Here is a 16,382-nt window from a genome sequence, read left to right as displayed (position 1 = left end):
TCGTTCTTCGGGGAGACGGCCCCTGACTCACCGCTGACCACGCGGCGGCAGAAGGCTCCGTGGCCGCAGAGCAGCGCGGCGCCCAGCAGCAGCGAGACCACGCGGCTCATCGCGGCGCGGTGGCAGCAGCAGGTGTTGCGTGGAGCGAGGGCGGCCTCTGCCCAGGGCGCAGCCCGCGACTCTGACTCTGCAGCCTCCCTGCCTCCCTGCCGGGCCCTACTCCCGCCGCCCGAGCCCAGCTGCCCGACCCCCTGCGCGCATCGCCTTCGGCCGGGACCTGCCGCCTGCCGCGCCTGTGCCGCGCGTGGATGTGCGGGGCTGGAGTTCAAGACTTCGAGGGTGCGCGTTTGGGGGACTGAAGTTAGGGGGTCCCGTGTATGTCCTAGAGGCGAAGCAGAAGCCCCGGCTTGGACCACACCGTTGCGCTTTGCTTCTCTTCCCCGGCCTCTGACAAGTGAGAGGCTGAGCCGGTGCGCCCTGGTCCTGGATCACAGCAGCAGCAGCCGCTCTGCGCTCAGGCACCGTCTTATATACCCACGTCCCGAGGTTCCGGCCCCCTCCCTAGTAATAATTTTTAACTACTTCGTCTCTCCAGCCATGTGGAGCATCCCAGCACCTCCCCTAAACACGGGAGCCCCTTTGAAAACAGTCCAGTCAGCAGCCCGCCTCCTCTGGTCCCCTCCTCCCTGTCCCCTCTTTCCATTCGCTAGCGGACTGGATACTCTTTGTGTAAAATGTGACAGCTTTGCTATTAAACTCTGGCAAAAAGTTGGATCCGTTTAGTTTTCTCAAAGATAAATGTCTACGGGGTTGCCAAGTTGTGTGGCCTTTCTCTTTCTGTGCTAAATTGCTTAATCATATGTATTGCTAGATGCAGGGCACTAGCCACTATTTAAGATGGATTGGTGAAGTGAGAGCCAAAACCTGCTCAGTGAATTATATAATGTGGCAGGTTTGTCCCCACCTAGGTTCTGCAAATAGATTATCTCCAAGCAGGTTGTTTGACGAAAACTGCCACAAGAGCAAATTGAAAGGAATATTTGAAGCATGGTTTTCGAAACTGATTTCACTCTCAGTGTTTGCAACTCCAGAGAAAACCGTCAACACAAAGTAGGCATTCTGAATTCTTGGGAATTTCCTGGAGGTAAAATGAAATGTATGTATTTCTTTGCAATCATCTATCAGTGATCTACGATATACATTAGAAGTAAAGCTCATTGGAAAACCTGCATTTTTCATAACCTGACCTGCTCTCTTTATTAAAACAGTCTACCCAAGGACTGTGATACCTAGTTTCCAGGAATACTGGAGAGAAGTTCTTAAGAATTTAATGTATATCAAGTCCATAGTATGAACTCTGAAAATGTTCTCATAATGAGCTTCAGTAGAATTGGTATTTTCTCATTATGTTGCTTTAAATGCATGAGAATTTGTTAAATAACATTACTTGTCTTATAGGAAGTACACTTTCCTCTAACTTCCTCCTGTCTTTGGTTTCATAAGCCACGGGTACACTGTAAGCATCTGTTGGACTGTTTTATTGGAAAAAGGAAGTAAATACTGATACAATAAGGACAAATCTTCCAGAATCAGAAATTTTAGCACTTGGAAAGACCTTAAAGATTATTAAATGCACCCTACTCGTGACAGTAGAATTCTAGCTCCGTCTGGAGTCCCAGCTATTCCAGAGGCTGAGGTAGGAGTTTGACGCTGCAGTGAGCTACAATCCAGCCACTGCATTCCAGTTTTGGGGACATGCAAAATCCTGTCTCAAAAAAAAAAAAAATAGAATTCTAAAATAACTACAATAATGTCTATTCTATCACTTCCTTTTTCTTATATTCCCTTTAAAAACACTAATTCATTGCAGAATCATGGGCAGTTAATAAATTTGCACCTTGTAGAGGCTATGGATTCTGTGACTTTCACACTAGCTAATTATTCACGAGAAACAGACACTGCTGGGATTCTGAATGAAAAATGGAAAACTGATACGCCTCCAGGCAACAGAGCTATAGCTCAGCCCCGGAAACCATGTCAAAGAGCATCACTGGGCATAGCCATGGTAGGAGAGCTGTCCTCCAGGGGCTCAGAGTCCAGTGTAGAGAAAGAAATAAAATAATAACTCTGTGTATAAATGCTGTAATGGAAGGATGAATCAAGTGTCATGGCTAGCATAGATAAGAAATTCATTTGGAGGCATATTTGCAGGAATTCTTTAGCAGCAGTCAAGGTTGATGGTGGTGATACCCATGGCTTCTCCAAATACCTGTAGAACTAGGGTTCTGAAGGGGATCTCCTTTCCCCTTTCATGCCACCCTACTCTCAGTTACTCATGCCCAGAGCTACTGTAAACAGGTCCTTCTTTGGGAAAGAATACCAGTAAATTACAACATAAGCACTAGATAGATATTCCTATATATCAGTAGGCCCAAATGTCTCTCATGCCTACAAAGCTAGCAAGAATGAAGGCATTTTTTGTCAGGAAGGATCTTCATGGTATTAGTAATTCAGGAAGCCCAAACTATAATAATAACTGTATCCTCAATATGTTTGCACAGACTTCCTAACATACAGTTTCTTATCTTTAGGCTAGAATTATATCAGTTTAAGTTGGCCACATTCATTAACTAAGGCTGTTCAGCAGTTATTCTGGATGTTGTTTGACTTATCAGGAAAATAAATTCTTACAGGTTCTTTTTAGATATGATGTTTTTTAAGGTGACTGGCTGACAAGAACAGCTTTTTTTGTTTGTGTCTCCGTCACTTCAAAACATCTGGATGGGTCATCACTGAGTTCAGAGATCACAGTTTGAGTTGTCTTAAATATAAAATCTGAGTGTTACTAGGCATGCTCTTTGGAGAGCCCTGATGGAAGCTTCTCTTGGCTTCCTTTTTTTTCCCATACAATATGGAAAAAAGTAGGGGCTATGAATTAAAATTTTTCAACAAAATTGTATTTTGGAAAAATGTTACAAGGTTATTGGGAGTTGGGGGAAAGCAACAAATATTCAATAATTTTATTAACAAAGGATTTTAATTTTTCCCTCTTGTGGATATGCATAAGGTGTCATAGAAGACACATGGTTTTCTGATGACACATTTTAGTTCCAAATTAACTAAACAAAATTAGAAGTTTAAGAATTGTTTGCAAATTGATCCAGAAATTAAGGGCTCTTTCTAGGGCAAGCGAGAAGAGACTTTAGGGTTATGTGAGGAATTGTGTATGTCTGGAGCTGGGCTCCAGGTCAGCTCATACCAAACAAGACCATATGACTGGCAGTCAGGAGAGAGGTCCCCCACAAGTTAAGGGTCTTTGTCCATTAAAAAAAAAAAAGACTCAAATGAGAACTTCAAACTGATTAGGCTAAGGAGCTCAGCATCTATTCAACACCTAAAATGCATCACTTTCTTCAAGCCCCCAAATAGAAGGATGATCTCAGTAAAAGTGGCCACAAAGGAATTTCAGGAATAAGTCGATCGCTGAATCTCCAGAGGCTCTGAAACATCAATAGAGAAACACTATTTGGAATCCAACGTTTTCAAAAGTGATATCAGGACTCTTAAGGGTATACTATGGAATCTATATAATATCCCAAATATATCACGAACTCCTTCACTCTCACCATTCACTTTCAAATGTCTGCAATTCCCAGTGAGCATCTGCTTCATGCGCCCATCAATACGTCTCAAGGAAGGACAGCCTAAATTCCAGCCACTGATCTGCACTCAGTGGCTCTTCACATGGGCAACTCCATACAGTGGCTTCAGCCTAAGTCACAGCAGGCTTCATTCATTTGCGCTCCAGATCGAACAGTGACAAATAGGATCTTCAAAGGAGATTTGTTACAATGTTTAAAATTATTACAACTTTACATTAATACATTTGAGATGTTTTCAGAATCCAACATTAACTAACCAATATTATTTATTCTATTATACTTTATCTAATAACAGTTAATGATTCTCCTGAGCACTATCAATAGTATTGCCAGGATATAGAAAAATAAATATTTGAAAGTTTAAAAGTAAAATCATTACTATATAACCACTTCAGCAATAGGCAAAAAGTTTTTTTTTTTTTATCTGAGTAATGCTTGGTTATCACTTCCAGTAAGACAGCATTGAATCCAAGGTTTTCCCTCCCAATATTTTAGAGATGACACCTTGGCATCTGTGTGGGTGTGTAACTGGCTTAAATGTAAGGATAAGCAGTTGGCCAAATTCACCTGAGATTTACTTGCTCTTTTCAAAACATGTCTATGCTGTAGAATACATGACCTACCTCATTCAGGAGCCAGTTCCACCTTCCTCATAATCCCAGAAGTCAGTTTTTGCAGGGCTGTCTAGGGGAATTTCATTGTTCATAACGATATCAGAAATATAATGAAGAATTATACACATTAATACACATGATTTTCTATAACTTGAAGTTAAAATTTCATAACTGTTCAGTCTGTTGCATGCTCTGATCATTCAGGTGATCAGTTAAAAATATTTATAGAACTCCATTACTAGTAATATATCCTATCAGATCTAAAGAATCATATAAATATATGTGCATGTTTAACTATCAACTCAATTAAAATTTCTTTTTAATGCTTCTTTATTAATTTAAAGTAATGAAATCTGTTTCTATTGCTGGTAATCTGGTATAAACCAATACTTTTTATTCTAATCACAGCTTAATTACTAAATCTTGCCTTAATATATGTTAATACAACCAAACAAAATTGAGATAATCAAACAAAAAATGTGTAAGCTAAAGTCATCTTTGCCTCAAGGGTCTGATCTGAGTTATTAGATACATAATTGACTAACTCCTTATTGGGGGTGATATTGTACTACGGTAAGATTATTTGGCTAGCAGAAACATTAATCTAAATTTTTCATTAATCTGATCTTGGTCAACTTTCCTCTTCTGTTTGGTTTTCACTTTATAAATATAAAAAGAATGAATTGGAGAAGTTCTGTGTTTCCTGACTGAATGAGATTCTACTGCAGAAATACTGTTATTTCATAAACTTTCCTAATGTTCATCTTTATTCTACCCAGCCAGAATGTCATATGTTATTTGCATATATGCACTAATTTTCCAAATATATATAGATGCTATGCTTCTAATGAAATGTAAATTTAATTGTAAAATGTCACTTAATTTATAAATCTTTTCCCATATATTCTGATCAATATTTACCAAAATAACAATTGCTATTATGCGGGGTCTGAAAAACAATACGTATGTTAAAAATAGGGCTTCATACTCAAAGAAGTTGGAAATCGCTATGCTAGATATTTCTAGAGTCCTTTTCAGCTTTACAATTTATTTCACTAAAGAAAAAAAAGCTTAACATCTTCCATCTCTTTTTATTTTCTTCCCTTCCTCCCTCCCTCTTTCTTTCTCTTCTATTTTTTCCTATAAAAATGACAATGGTTTGATTTATAATAAATGGCTATATCCTCATTTAATTTCAAAATTGTTCAGAAAATGGGAGTTCTGAAAATTTTCTATGGTCCTTTGACTAATAAATCAACATATCACAGATGCCACAAAAAATGAAAAATCCAAATAAAGCAAAATAAAATTGAGGGCCAAGTTGAGTAAAAGATAATCCAACTAAGAGGCCATAAAACTGTAAATGAATTTTTGATAAAGCAAGATATTTTCTATAAAAGTGTTTTATTTTACTAAAAGGGAAAGGGTGTAAAGAAAAGGAATAGCTAAAGACCTAAAAAAATGTAAAATATTCCTTTGTGGCATTCATAAATATTAAATGTTTCTCCAAATATATCAAATGACTAGGAAACAATAGTGCCAAAGCCAGCCATAATAGCAATAAACTGTATTATGTGAGCTGACATATAAAGTTAGAGGGAATTTAACGGAAAAAAACCAAAGGTATTAAGAAAAAAATCAATTTAAATATCCTTCTGGAGGTACATCTGTCACTCTGCTGCTCTTTCATACATCGTTTCTAAGCGTAAGTAGCTCACATGCCAAATACATGTGTATAATGCAGGACAGCAATATAGAAATTTTGGAAATAATAAGGAATACTCTGTCAGATAAGCCATAGATATCAGCACCCGTAAACCTTTCTTTATCCTCTAGGTTACCTTTTAAAAAGGAAAAGTTATTATTTATCTGCAATAAGGTATACATATTCTACATTCCAAAGAAACTCCTATAAAATAAACATGAACAGAAAGGGAAAAACAACAAAAGTAAGTGTATTTCTATTGCTTGATCCTTTACAGCAGAAAAATTTAACGGAGCATGTTACAGTAAGAAATTTGTGCTATAATATTTCTCTCCAAAGAATGGACACAAAAATTCATAAGGTAGTCTTAATTTTCTAGAGTGTTAAAGAACATCAGAGAGCTACAAAATTATCATGAATGTCTTAGTCATGTACTTCCTGTCTTCTCTAATAGGTAAGAGTCATTTAATCTGGCACTAAAAAATCAGAAGTAATGTTTTTGATGTTTAAATATTTATGATGTTGAATAATACAACAATTACAAAAATATGTATATAAAGTTCTTCATACAAGACTAGGATAATCATAGTGGACTCAGGCCCGTCTGTGCTGAGACTCATTTACTTGTGACTGTAAAGACTTCTGGAAAAAATATTACTTACTGGGAATAAAATGGAGCATAAAGCTAGACCTCACAATCTTAATACTCTAATCAATTCCACCACCCATCCACAGCAACCCCTCCCTGAACTTTCACATAACCACATTGGTATGGTTTGGCTCTGTGTCCCCACCCAAATCTCATCTTGAATTGTACTCCCATAATTCCCGCATGTTGTGGGAGGGACCCACTGGGAGATAACTTGAATCATGGGAGCACTTTCCCCATATTGTCCTCAAGGTAGTGAATGAGTCTCACAAGATCTGATGGTTTTATCTGGGGTTTCCTGTTTTGCATCTTTCTCATTTTCTCTTGCCACCACCATGTAAGAAGTGCCTTTTGCCTCCCACCATGATTCTGAGGCATCCCCAGCCTTGTGAAACTGTAAGTCCAATGAAACCTCTTTCTCTTCCCAGTCTCGGGTATGTCTTTATCAGCAGCATGAAAATGGACTAATATGCGCATCAGTTTACATGGCTTATTCTAACATGTTAAGGACCACTAGAACTCTGGTGTCTCTTCCCAGACTCTATACTGGTTTTCTCTAACCCAAGTTAATAGTTCAGAGTGCTGAGAAGCTTTAGGACAATCATAAAGGAAGTGAAGATACTGTCTTTCTGTCCTTGCCTCCATCTACAGAAAGGCTTTCCCTGACTAATGATCTAAGTCCACCTCTGCTTATCCTCCCCCAGTTTTTTCTATGACTGCATCTATAATTTAACAAACATTTATTGAGCACATATTGCACTTATTCTGTTAAAATTGTGGGCGTATTTATTTAATGTTTGTCCATCTCTACTAGGTTGTAAGCTCTGAGCTAGTTTATTCTCCACCAGTAGGTGGTTTTATTCTTCACCTACTGTAAATAAACAGTAGATGGGAAATTTTTATGTTTATTCAATAAATAAACAGTAGGTGGGAAATTTGGGTTAATTTTAATTAACAAACAGTAGGTGGAGAATACTTGCTATGTATTTGGTAAATATTTATCCAAAACTGAATCTCTGAATTAATGTTTTTTAATCTTCACCTGCATCCAGGTTTTAAAGATTTTTCCCCTGTCTACTCTCTAGAGTGACAAGGGTCGGAGAGAAGAGGGATGTATAATAAGAACTGCAACCAACACAGGAAGGATATTCTCCTTTCTTCCACACTTCCTTACTCCTGTAAAGGAGATGAAAGAAGGCTTTGGCAATTCTGAAAAGCTCCCCAGTACCTTCCTTTCCTTTGCTAACACTCAAGGATGTCAGGCTTGCAAAGGGGGAGGTTTTCAAGAGTAATCCATGTAACCTGCATTCTAGAATCTTAGGTTAATGTTTGCTTCCTATTCTGCAGAAGTCACTGAGTAGCCCTTACTTTCGCTATACGTAATTTCTTCTGAGAGTGGAGATAAATGCAAAATTCAGATGTATATTCCTAGATAGATAGTCTAAATTTTGCTTTTCTACTTCCACACTGCTATATGCTCCCACCAGTAACATCTTCCAAGAATATGGTAACCACACATCTTGTGTTGCCTGACAAAGTACTAATTTGCCCAGAACAGTGCAGTTCATACCCTGATATTTAACATGTGGTTGATTTTCACATCCTACATGAAGCTTACTTTTTAATTTCCACAAAAATAATTTTCTTGCTCTGATTTTTTAAAACCACAGCATATTTCTTCTCCAATAGTTAGCTGTATAAATTATGCCTCTTTATGTGGACACACCAGTCTCCTATAGGAAAAATACTATACTATAACATATTCTGTATCCTCCATGCCTAACAGTGTCTTGCACACTAGGAAGTCAATAAGTGACTTTTTGATTTTTAAGATTTTTAAAAAGACTACAAATTACAACACAAAATAAAATTTTATCTATCTGTTAATAAAAGCACATTTTCATTGAGGATATCTTATAAATATAAGTAGAAAACTTGTCATGTATTGTTCAAGTGGTTATCTGAAATTCATGTCAAAATTATTGAGATTTAAAATATTTTACAGATTTTTAATCAAATTTTGCAAAATTTTTTGAATTATGAAACTGCCTGCTCACTTTCTGAGCTGCATCATTATAATTTCTAGTGTGGTGTTGAGGTAAAACCTAAAAGACATGGAAAATACTGGAGTCAAGTGGCCATATGACCGTACTTCCTTCCAAAGAAACCTTAGAGATAATTTGTGAAATTCTTAGGATTCATAGAACACACTTTGAAAGTCAGAGTTTCAATCAATAAATAGCTATAATATCCTGAGATAAGGGTCTAAATGCTCAAAAGCTACAAAAAGTAATCAAAGCTTGATATGGTTTGGCTGTGTCCCCACCGAAGTCTCATCTTGAATTGTAGTTCCCATAATCCCCATGTGCTATGGAAAGGACCCTATAGGACGTAATTGAATCATGGAGGCGGTTTTCCCTTATGCTAGTCTCATGATGTAAGTAAGTTCTCACAAGCTCTAATGGTTTTATAAGGGGCTTCCCACTTCACTTGGCTTTCATTCTTCTCTTTCTGCTGCCCTGTGAAAAAGGACGTGTTTGCTTCTCCTTTTGCCATGATAGTAAGTTTCCTGAGGCCTTCCCAGCCACGTGGAACTGTGAATCAATTAAACCTCTTTCGCTTGTAAATTACCCAGTCCTGGGCAGTTCTTTACAGCAGCGTGATAATGTACTAATACAAAACTCATAGATGAGAAGACTTCTGAGATTCAGAACAAAAAGGAGGACAATTGATTCATCTTACTTAATAACCAACAGATGATGTAAATACACTGGACATTCTAAATCTATATGATGCTAAGGTAGAAAACTATTCATTTCTGAACATGATAAGAATTTCCTTTCCTCCCTGGATTTATAAGAATTAAAAAGGAATACAATTTAGCTAAATATGAACTATTTGTCTGTCTTTTCTGTCTCACCTTTAATGTTCTAGTTTCCAATTGCTGTTCCAGGTTGTCATAGCAACCAAATGCTATTTTCAATAAGTTTTAGTAGAAAACCTGTTTGGAACACGTAATTTATTATAAGTGGAATGCATTCAGTTGGCTGCATGTGTGACAGATTCTTCTATTTTATAAGAAATTATTTGATCATATTATCCTTGGTGACTACTACTTCTTAACTCTTTTATAACAAAAATAACCCTTAAATTTTATAGACAATAACAGGAATTACTTCACTGAAGATATGCCTGTAGCCAATCCAAAGAGTTAACTGGGGTTTAGGTTTAGTCTCCTCCAGCCCAGTACAGACAATCTTAATAATCAACACATTGTTTTGTCTAAAATATAGATTAATCATATATTCAGTATTTTAATTTTTTAAATTTTCTTCCAATGTTAATATGAATATACTTGCAGAAAATCTAGTACAAAATTAGAAAAAAATGCATAATGCTACCATCAGAAGGTCCTATTAAAAAAACATGCACAGGCTTTTACATATTCATCTGCTCTAAAGCTTTTAATTACACTCTAGACTACAGAACAAATTTTGGGCTTCTTTGTCCCTCATTTGTGGCCCTTCAAATTCTGACCCTCTTTATCTTTTGTACTTCATGTCCACATTCTGCTTTCACAAATCAGCCAGCAACACCAAGTGACTGTCTTATGTTATCTTACCACACTGGGCACCTCCATAATTTTCTCTGCCTTTGCAATGCCTGGCTCTTATGTTATTATTCTCCTAAAATTGTCTCTTCTTTTCTCAAATAAGCCACATCAGGCCACTTTATTTCTTTCCTTTTCCAGATGGATAAAACTAATTCATTTAGTACTTGAAGAAAATCTACCTTCTGGAACTTTTCATACTATTTAATTTTTCAAATTACTTAGCTGCTTACATGTACTTATTTTACCTTCTCAACAAGAAGGTAAGTTAACCCAGAACCAGAACCATGTCTGGTACATCATTTTCCGACTCAACGCCAAAGATGTCTATTTTATTTAATAAAGTTTCTTCGCAGAGCCTTCAGTGCAGAAGTTTTGTTCTACCCCCTTCTTATGTTCCAGTGACATGTGTGGATAACCCACTTTGTGCCCATACATCAGCAGCCTCATGGGACCACTTCTGGTAATCAAAGGTAAAGGGGTGGATTGTTCCCTGCCTCCCCTTTTAGTTGCATTATCCTCTTTTACCCCAGATATTGCGTAAATGTTACAAAGAACCATTTCTTTCATGAGTTACCCATAAGAGACCTTAACATACACTCAAAATATGCATAATGAAAGCTTTGAAGAGGACTGAAAAGGTAGGAAAAAAACATGTACCAGAGAGAAACAGGTGTTTCTTTCTGGCTTAAACGCCAGCTGTGCCATTTTGAGGCTTCACGGCCAGTAGAGGGCAAGAAAATAGTCCACACTCTGCTTCCATTTCCTGCACACCTAAGGAAGTCACCTGATAACCTTCCAAGAGAGGGCCTACCTCAGCAAGTAACGCTCTGTAGGGAATAGGCTACATTCATCCGGCAAACATCACTTCCGCTCACAGAGGGGACTCTGATGGCGGTCACAGAGTAAAAGTAGCGCATTCGAACGAGAGAACATATTTGTTTTCACGCCAAGTAGTATTTATTGTCTTTAAGGTTAAAATAATAAGGTATGATTTGTTTTATTGCACTTATATTAATGTGCACAATTAACCAAAAAGCCTTGGACATGGTAAATTTCTTTCTTTATTCCAGCATTTTAAGAAGTTAATGCTCTATTGATTCATTGTGTGAATAATATAATCTGGAATATCATTCTTCAGTATGTCATCAAAAAATTAAAATATTATGCATTCTGCATTATATGTTTTAAGAAGTTACGGTTGGAATATAGACAGTATTTTATTGGCTTAAACTTTTAAACCTTGATTATATTTATTGTTGTAAGTCACACTGTAAAGTAATAAATGATAAAATTTCAGATATGAAATCTTTTAATTGGCTCTTTAGAGGAGAAGAAAAGGGAATGCATAAAGTCTTACCAGAAGCAGCCTAACCATTATGAAATAAGGCCAAATTATCTTATTTTTTTTAAAAAAAGGCCCCAAATATTGGCTCCGGTGTTTTAGCAAAATGAAAGCTGAACTGTTAAAGCTAAACTTAGATCTTCACACTGGATAATGTTATCGAAAACTCTGGGACTTAATTTGGCCTTCCTGCTCTTAGGAGAGTAACTATAACAATAATAACAACAATTAATAGTTACCATGTATCTGGCACTGTTTTGAAACATTTAATATATTAACTTGTTTCATCCTCATGAATGTCTTATGATACTATAGCCATCCCCAGTTTTAAAGATAAGGAAATTGCAGCAAAAGGATGTTAAGTACCTTGCCCAAGGTCATACACACAGCAAAAGGGTGGACAGCTGGTATTTCAACCCAGGCAGTCTGGCTCTAGCATCTGTGTTCTTAAACACAATGTCAAACCACCTCTTAAGAATGTGCCTTTCTTTATGATGAATGAAATAAGCCAGGCACGGAAAGACAAAAACCATATGTTCTCACTTCTATGTGGAATCTAAAGCAATCCATCTCATAGAAGCAGAAAGTAGAACAGTGGTTATCAGAGGCTGGAGAGTGGGAACAATGGGAAGATGTTGGTCAAAGGGTACAAAGTTGCACTTAGACAGGAGGAATAAATTATAAGTATTTAAGGTTATTGATATGTTAATTAGCTTGATTCAATCATTCCACACTGTGTGTGTATATATAGATGGATAGATAGGTCATATATATACATATATATATATATATATATATATATATATCATAACATCATGTGGACCCCATAATTATATGGACCATTATAATTATATGGACCCCATAATTATTTTGACTATATAATTTGTCAAAAACATTTTTAAAACAATGTAAAGCATAAAAACATAATATATCCTGCTGTGCTACAGAACTAGTAAGACTGGAGACTCCACTAACCATTATTTATTTCCTCCTTCAGACACCTAATTCTTCAGCCATCACACAGCCAAATATCACCAAGACTAAACCAATGTTTCCCAAAGGTGACTGAGATGGTTTAAGGTTAGATATAGATTTTTAAAAATTTAATACTGCTATCGTCTGAATGTTTGCTCCCCACAAAACTTACATGTTGAAACCAAATCCACAATATTGTGGGTACCTAAGAGGTGGGGACTTTGGAAGATGATTAGGTCAGGGAGCTCCCCTCTCATGAATGGGATTAGTGCCCTCGTTAAAGAGGCATTTGTTCATTCCTTCCACCATGTGGAGACACAGTCAGAAGGTGCCATGTATGAGGAAGAGGCCCTCACTAGACACTAAATCTTTCAGCCTCTTGATCTTGGACTTCCCTGCCTCCAGAACTGTGAGAAATAAATTTCTGTCATTCAGTGACCCAGGTTATGATATTTTTGTTATAACAGCCAAATGGAATAAGACAAATAGTTATATATTTATTTTATATGTATTAAGAAATCAGTATAATTAGCACATCGAAAATGATGATTTTATAAATATTACTGCTTGAATAAGACAATAAAATAGTGAATAATTTATATCATTTTAAAGAAAAACTATTAAGTAAATAATAGAACTAATGGTAAACAAATTGAACAAATGCTAAGTTAAGAATTAATGGTAGAAATGTTGAAGACAGCATGTGTCTGATGGAAGCTTGCCAAACATCAAGTTCAACAGTGCTCTTCTCTCTGAGCTAAATTTCCGCATAGACCAGGCCTGGAGTGTTCCAGTGAAACTGGGGCAGGATCACTAGATCTGTGTTATAGTATGGCTGGCCCTCCCCATCATTTTATTATATAAAACTATATACAAGTTTCTCCAGCGGTAACTACCCAGGACCACCAAGACAGTTATCCCCATTACTGTGCCGTGGCTTGGGAAGCCATTATCCATAACCCCATACAAAGCACAGTAGGACTAGTCTCTGCCATCCTCAGAACACCTAACCAGGCCCTTTGGTTAAGGCCTGAGGAGCAAACAGACGGAAAAGAAAGGACAGATGAAAAGACTCTGAAGCTGGATGACTTTTGCACTTTACTGTAGATACTGAAGAAGGGAAGTGATACAGCGTGGATGAAAAAAGGGTGCAAGAACCTTGAAAAGGTATGTATCAGATACTCTTTTCAATAGGTTAAAAAACAATGCAAGGCAAGCCACATAGTCATGAACCCTGAACTACAACCTGGATATTTGAATGGCCAGTTCAATGCTCTGTCTAGCCCCATTTTTGGAAAGGCTTCAGGCTTTAATGGAAGTTATAGTTGGAAAAGAGGCATGTTTAAATTAAGTCAGATGGAAGCACTGCTGTGCCAAGTCACAGATATAGCACACGCACAGTGGCTGGCAATCATGGAAATAATTTCTGCTGAATAGGTTATAAAATAAATAGGCGACTGCAGGACACTCTCTGAGCAGTGTCATTTCATGACGTCGGATCCAAAACCCTGAGCATTTTAGTGGGCTGGCAGGGAAAGGAGCTGAAATTTACCTTGTCAAAATGTTTATTGGAATACCGCTACTTTGTTATAACATTGACTAGTTCTTTCTTCAACTTAAAAGCTGAGTAAGATGGTTTCTTCAAAAGCAAGCTACAATGCCCATATTCTCCCCAATGGACTATAGTATCACTAAATTAAAAGGCCACTTTTGTCCTTAAGGTGTTCCGCCCATGGTCGGGGCTACATAAACATTGGTTGAATTGAATCAAATTCATTATAAGGGTTGAAACACCTGTGCAGGGATAAATGAAAATCATCTAAGTACGAATGAAAGAAAAAAAATCATAAAATAGAAAAGCATTTGTATTTCTAGCAGTTTATATTTACTTCTTTTATAATCATCTTTTGAGAAAGTCATTAGCATAAAAATAATTTTAGTCTATAATGACAAAAATTACGCCAAAAGCATTATAACTATGATTGCTTAGTGATTCTTAGTCATACATTTTACCTTTTGATTGGTATTTTAACACATAATGATGCTATTAAGAGACATATTAGCCCACCTTTTGACTCCATACAATCCTCTTTAAACAAGCTTTATATTTATGAAATGCCACTAGACATAAATTTTCTGTTAAGTTCTTCTTTGCATTCGTATTTCCTTCACTTTGTTTCTAATATTCCATAAAAAATTATGAAACCATATTATATGGTATCAACAAGCATCTCAAATAACAAAATCCAAGTAATCACAACTCTCAATAGCTGACATTCTTTTTAGTTTTTATTCCTCTTTCCCCTTCTTAATAATCACAGGAATGTAAGAATATTTAATTTAAAAATCACAATTTCACAACAAGTAACTAATAATGCTAATTTTGTGATTCTGAATGTAATCCTGAATCTTGCATGATTGCTTCATTGAAAATCATCTCTTCTATGTCTTCCATGTAATAAAAGAATAACTGTCTGTGGCCTAAAATTTGAATGATTTATATCATGTGGTTTCAGGTCTTCCCAGCTCTTTTCAGCAAGAAATTTTTTAGCAAAGCAAACTTCATGTGGAGCCAGGACTAAGAGGACCCTGAATGGCACTGAGAAAATTATCAAAGGAAACGAGACCATTTTAACGGTAACAGTTTTCTCAGGGTAAGTACAGAAACTTTTTTCCCCTGAGTTCCACAACTACAACCTACTTAATCATTTGAGGTACACTGTATGACTGCGCAAAAAAATTTACTTTTTCCTCACACCTTCTTTGGGAGGAGTATAATTCCCCAATTAATTGATTTGACAGTCAAGTCGCTGCTTGAAAGAAAATCTAAAATTCATGGTATTGGCTTTGGGGCCAAATGTAGGTGACCAGGAAACTTCTTCTTTGCGAAGATTATCCTTTCGTGTTCCATGATTGAATTCTGGGACTGAAGAGAAAACATGATGTAGCGATTATCACAAGATTTAAGACTTAAGTCTGATGCTGTAAAAGTGTACAACTTTGAGGGGATGGACGTGTTGTTTGGAGTAGGGGTGAATACATTCTGTGGGCAGAAGAAAAAGAAGTTAATATTTGTTGCCCAGAAAACAAATTGTGGGTAGTTTGTATTATTATTCCACAAATATCCATTCTCCCCCACCCTAACACTGAAGAATTATGAGCGTCCATCCCATTGATACTGGCTTGATTATGTGATTTGTTTTGACCAAGGAAATGAGATAGGACATGGCATACACTTTTTTCACACAGCAGCTTTAAACATGCTTACACATTTTGGTTTGGTCTCTTATTTATTCCCTGCTACCATGAGAAAAATATGACCCTGTTAACCAGTGTTTCTTCAGCCTGGATCTCAGAATGCCAGATATATCGAACACACCTAATGCACTCAGGGCCTGGAGAAGAGATGCCTCTGCCATCCCACAGACCTGTGAATAAGCAATAAAAACTTTGTGATGTAAGCCATTGAAGTATTGTGGGTTGTTTGCTATTCAAAATTATCACAGAAAATCTTACGAATACACAAGTTCATGAGCATCAAATCAGCAATCTGCACATATAAGAAGGCAAAAGTCATATTTCACCTGATTTCATCTGATACTGCCCTCTTTATACTTTCTTCCATTTTTATATATTTTATATGCTCCATCATATATTGCAAAGGCATACTTTTGCTATTGTCTGTTGTTTTTACTATATGTCCCTACAACATCCAAGAAGCTACAGAAGATTCATAAATAAATTATTGACCTCATGAGTTCAACCTAGAAATTCTCCCAGACATACTTTATAGACATTTAATCTGAGAGGATTTGTCTTTGT

The 16,382-nt window shown here is 36.8% G+C and overlaps 1 protein-coding gene across 7 annotated transcripts in view; it reads right to left on the bottom strand.

Moving 5' to 3' along the window:
• CHODL (chondrolectin) overlaps window positions 1–16,382 on the bottom strand; it is a 350,031-nt gene that overhangs the window by 22,037 nt on the left and 311,612 nt on the right. For 2 of the 7 annotated variants that reach the window (NM_024944.3, XM_011529453.3), the window contains exon 1: window positions 32–501. The exons of 4 other annotated variants lie outside the window; for them this stretch is intronic. In NM_024944.3, coding sequence (NP_079220.2) covers window positions 32–110 — 79 coding nt within the window. In that variant the 5' untranslated portion in view covers window positions 111–501. Of the gene's footprint in view, window positions 1–31; window positions 502–3,626; window positions 3,826–16,382 lie in introns of those variants that run through there. One more of the 7 variants, XM_047440682.1, reaches the window with a different exon arrangement.

The sequence above is a fragment of the Homo sapiens genome, chromosome 21, assembly GCF_000001405.40.
Source record: "Homo sapiens chromosome 21, GRCh38.p14 Primary Assembly".
Lineage (NCBI taxonomy): Eukaryota > Metazoa > Chordata > Mammalia > Primates > Hominidae > Homo > Homo sapiens.
The sequence above is the reverse complement of the archived record's forward strand: the minus strand, read 5'-3'. Positions and strand labels throughout refer to the sequence as shown.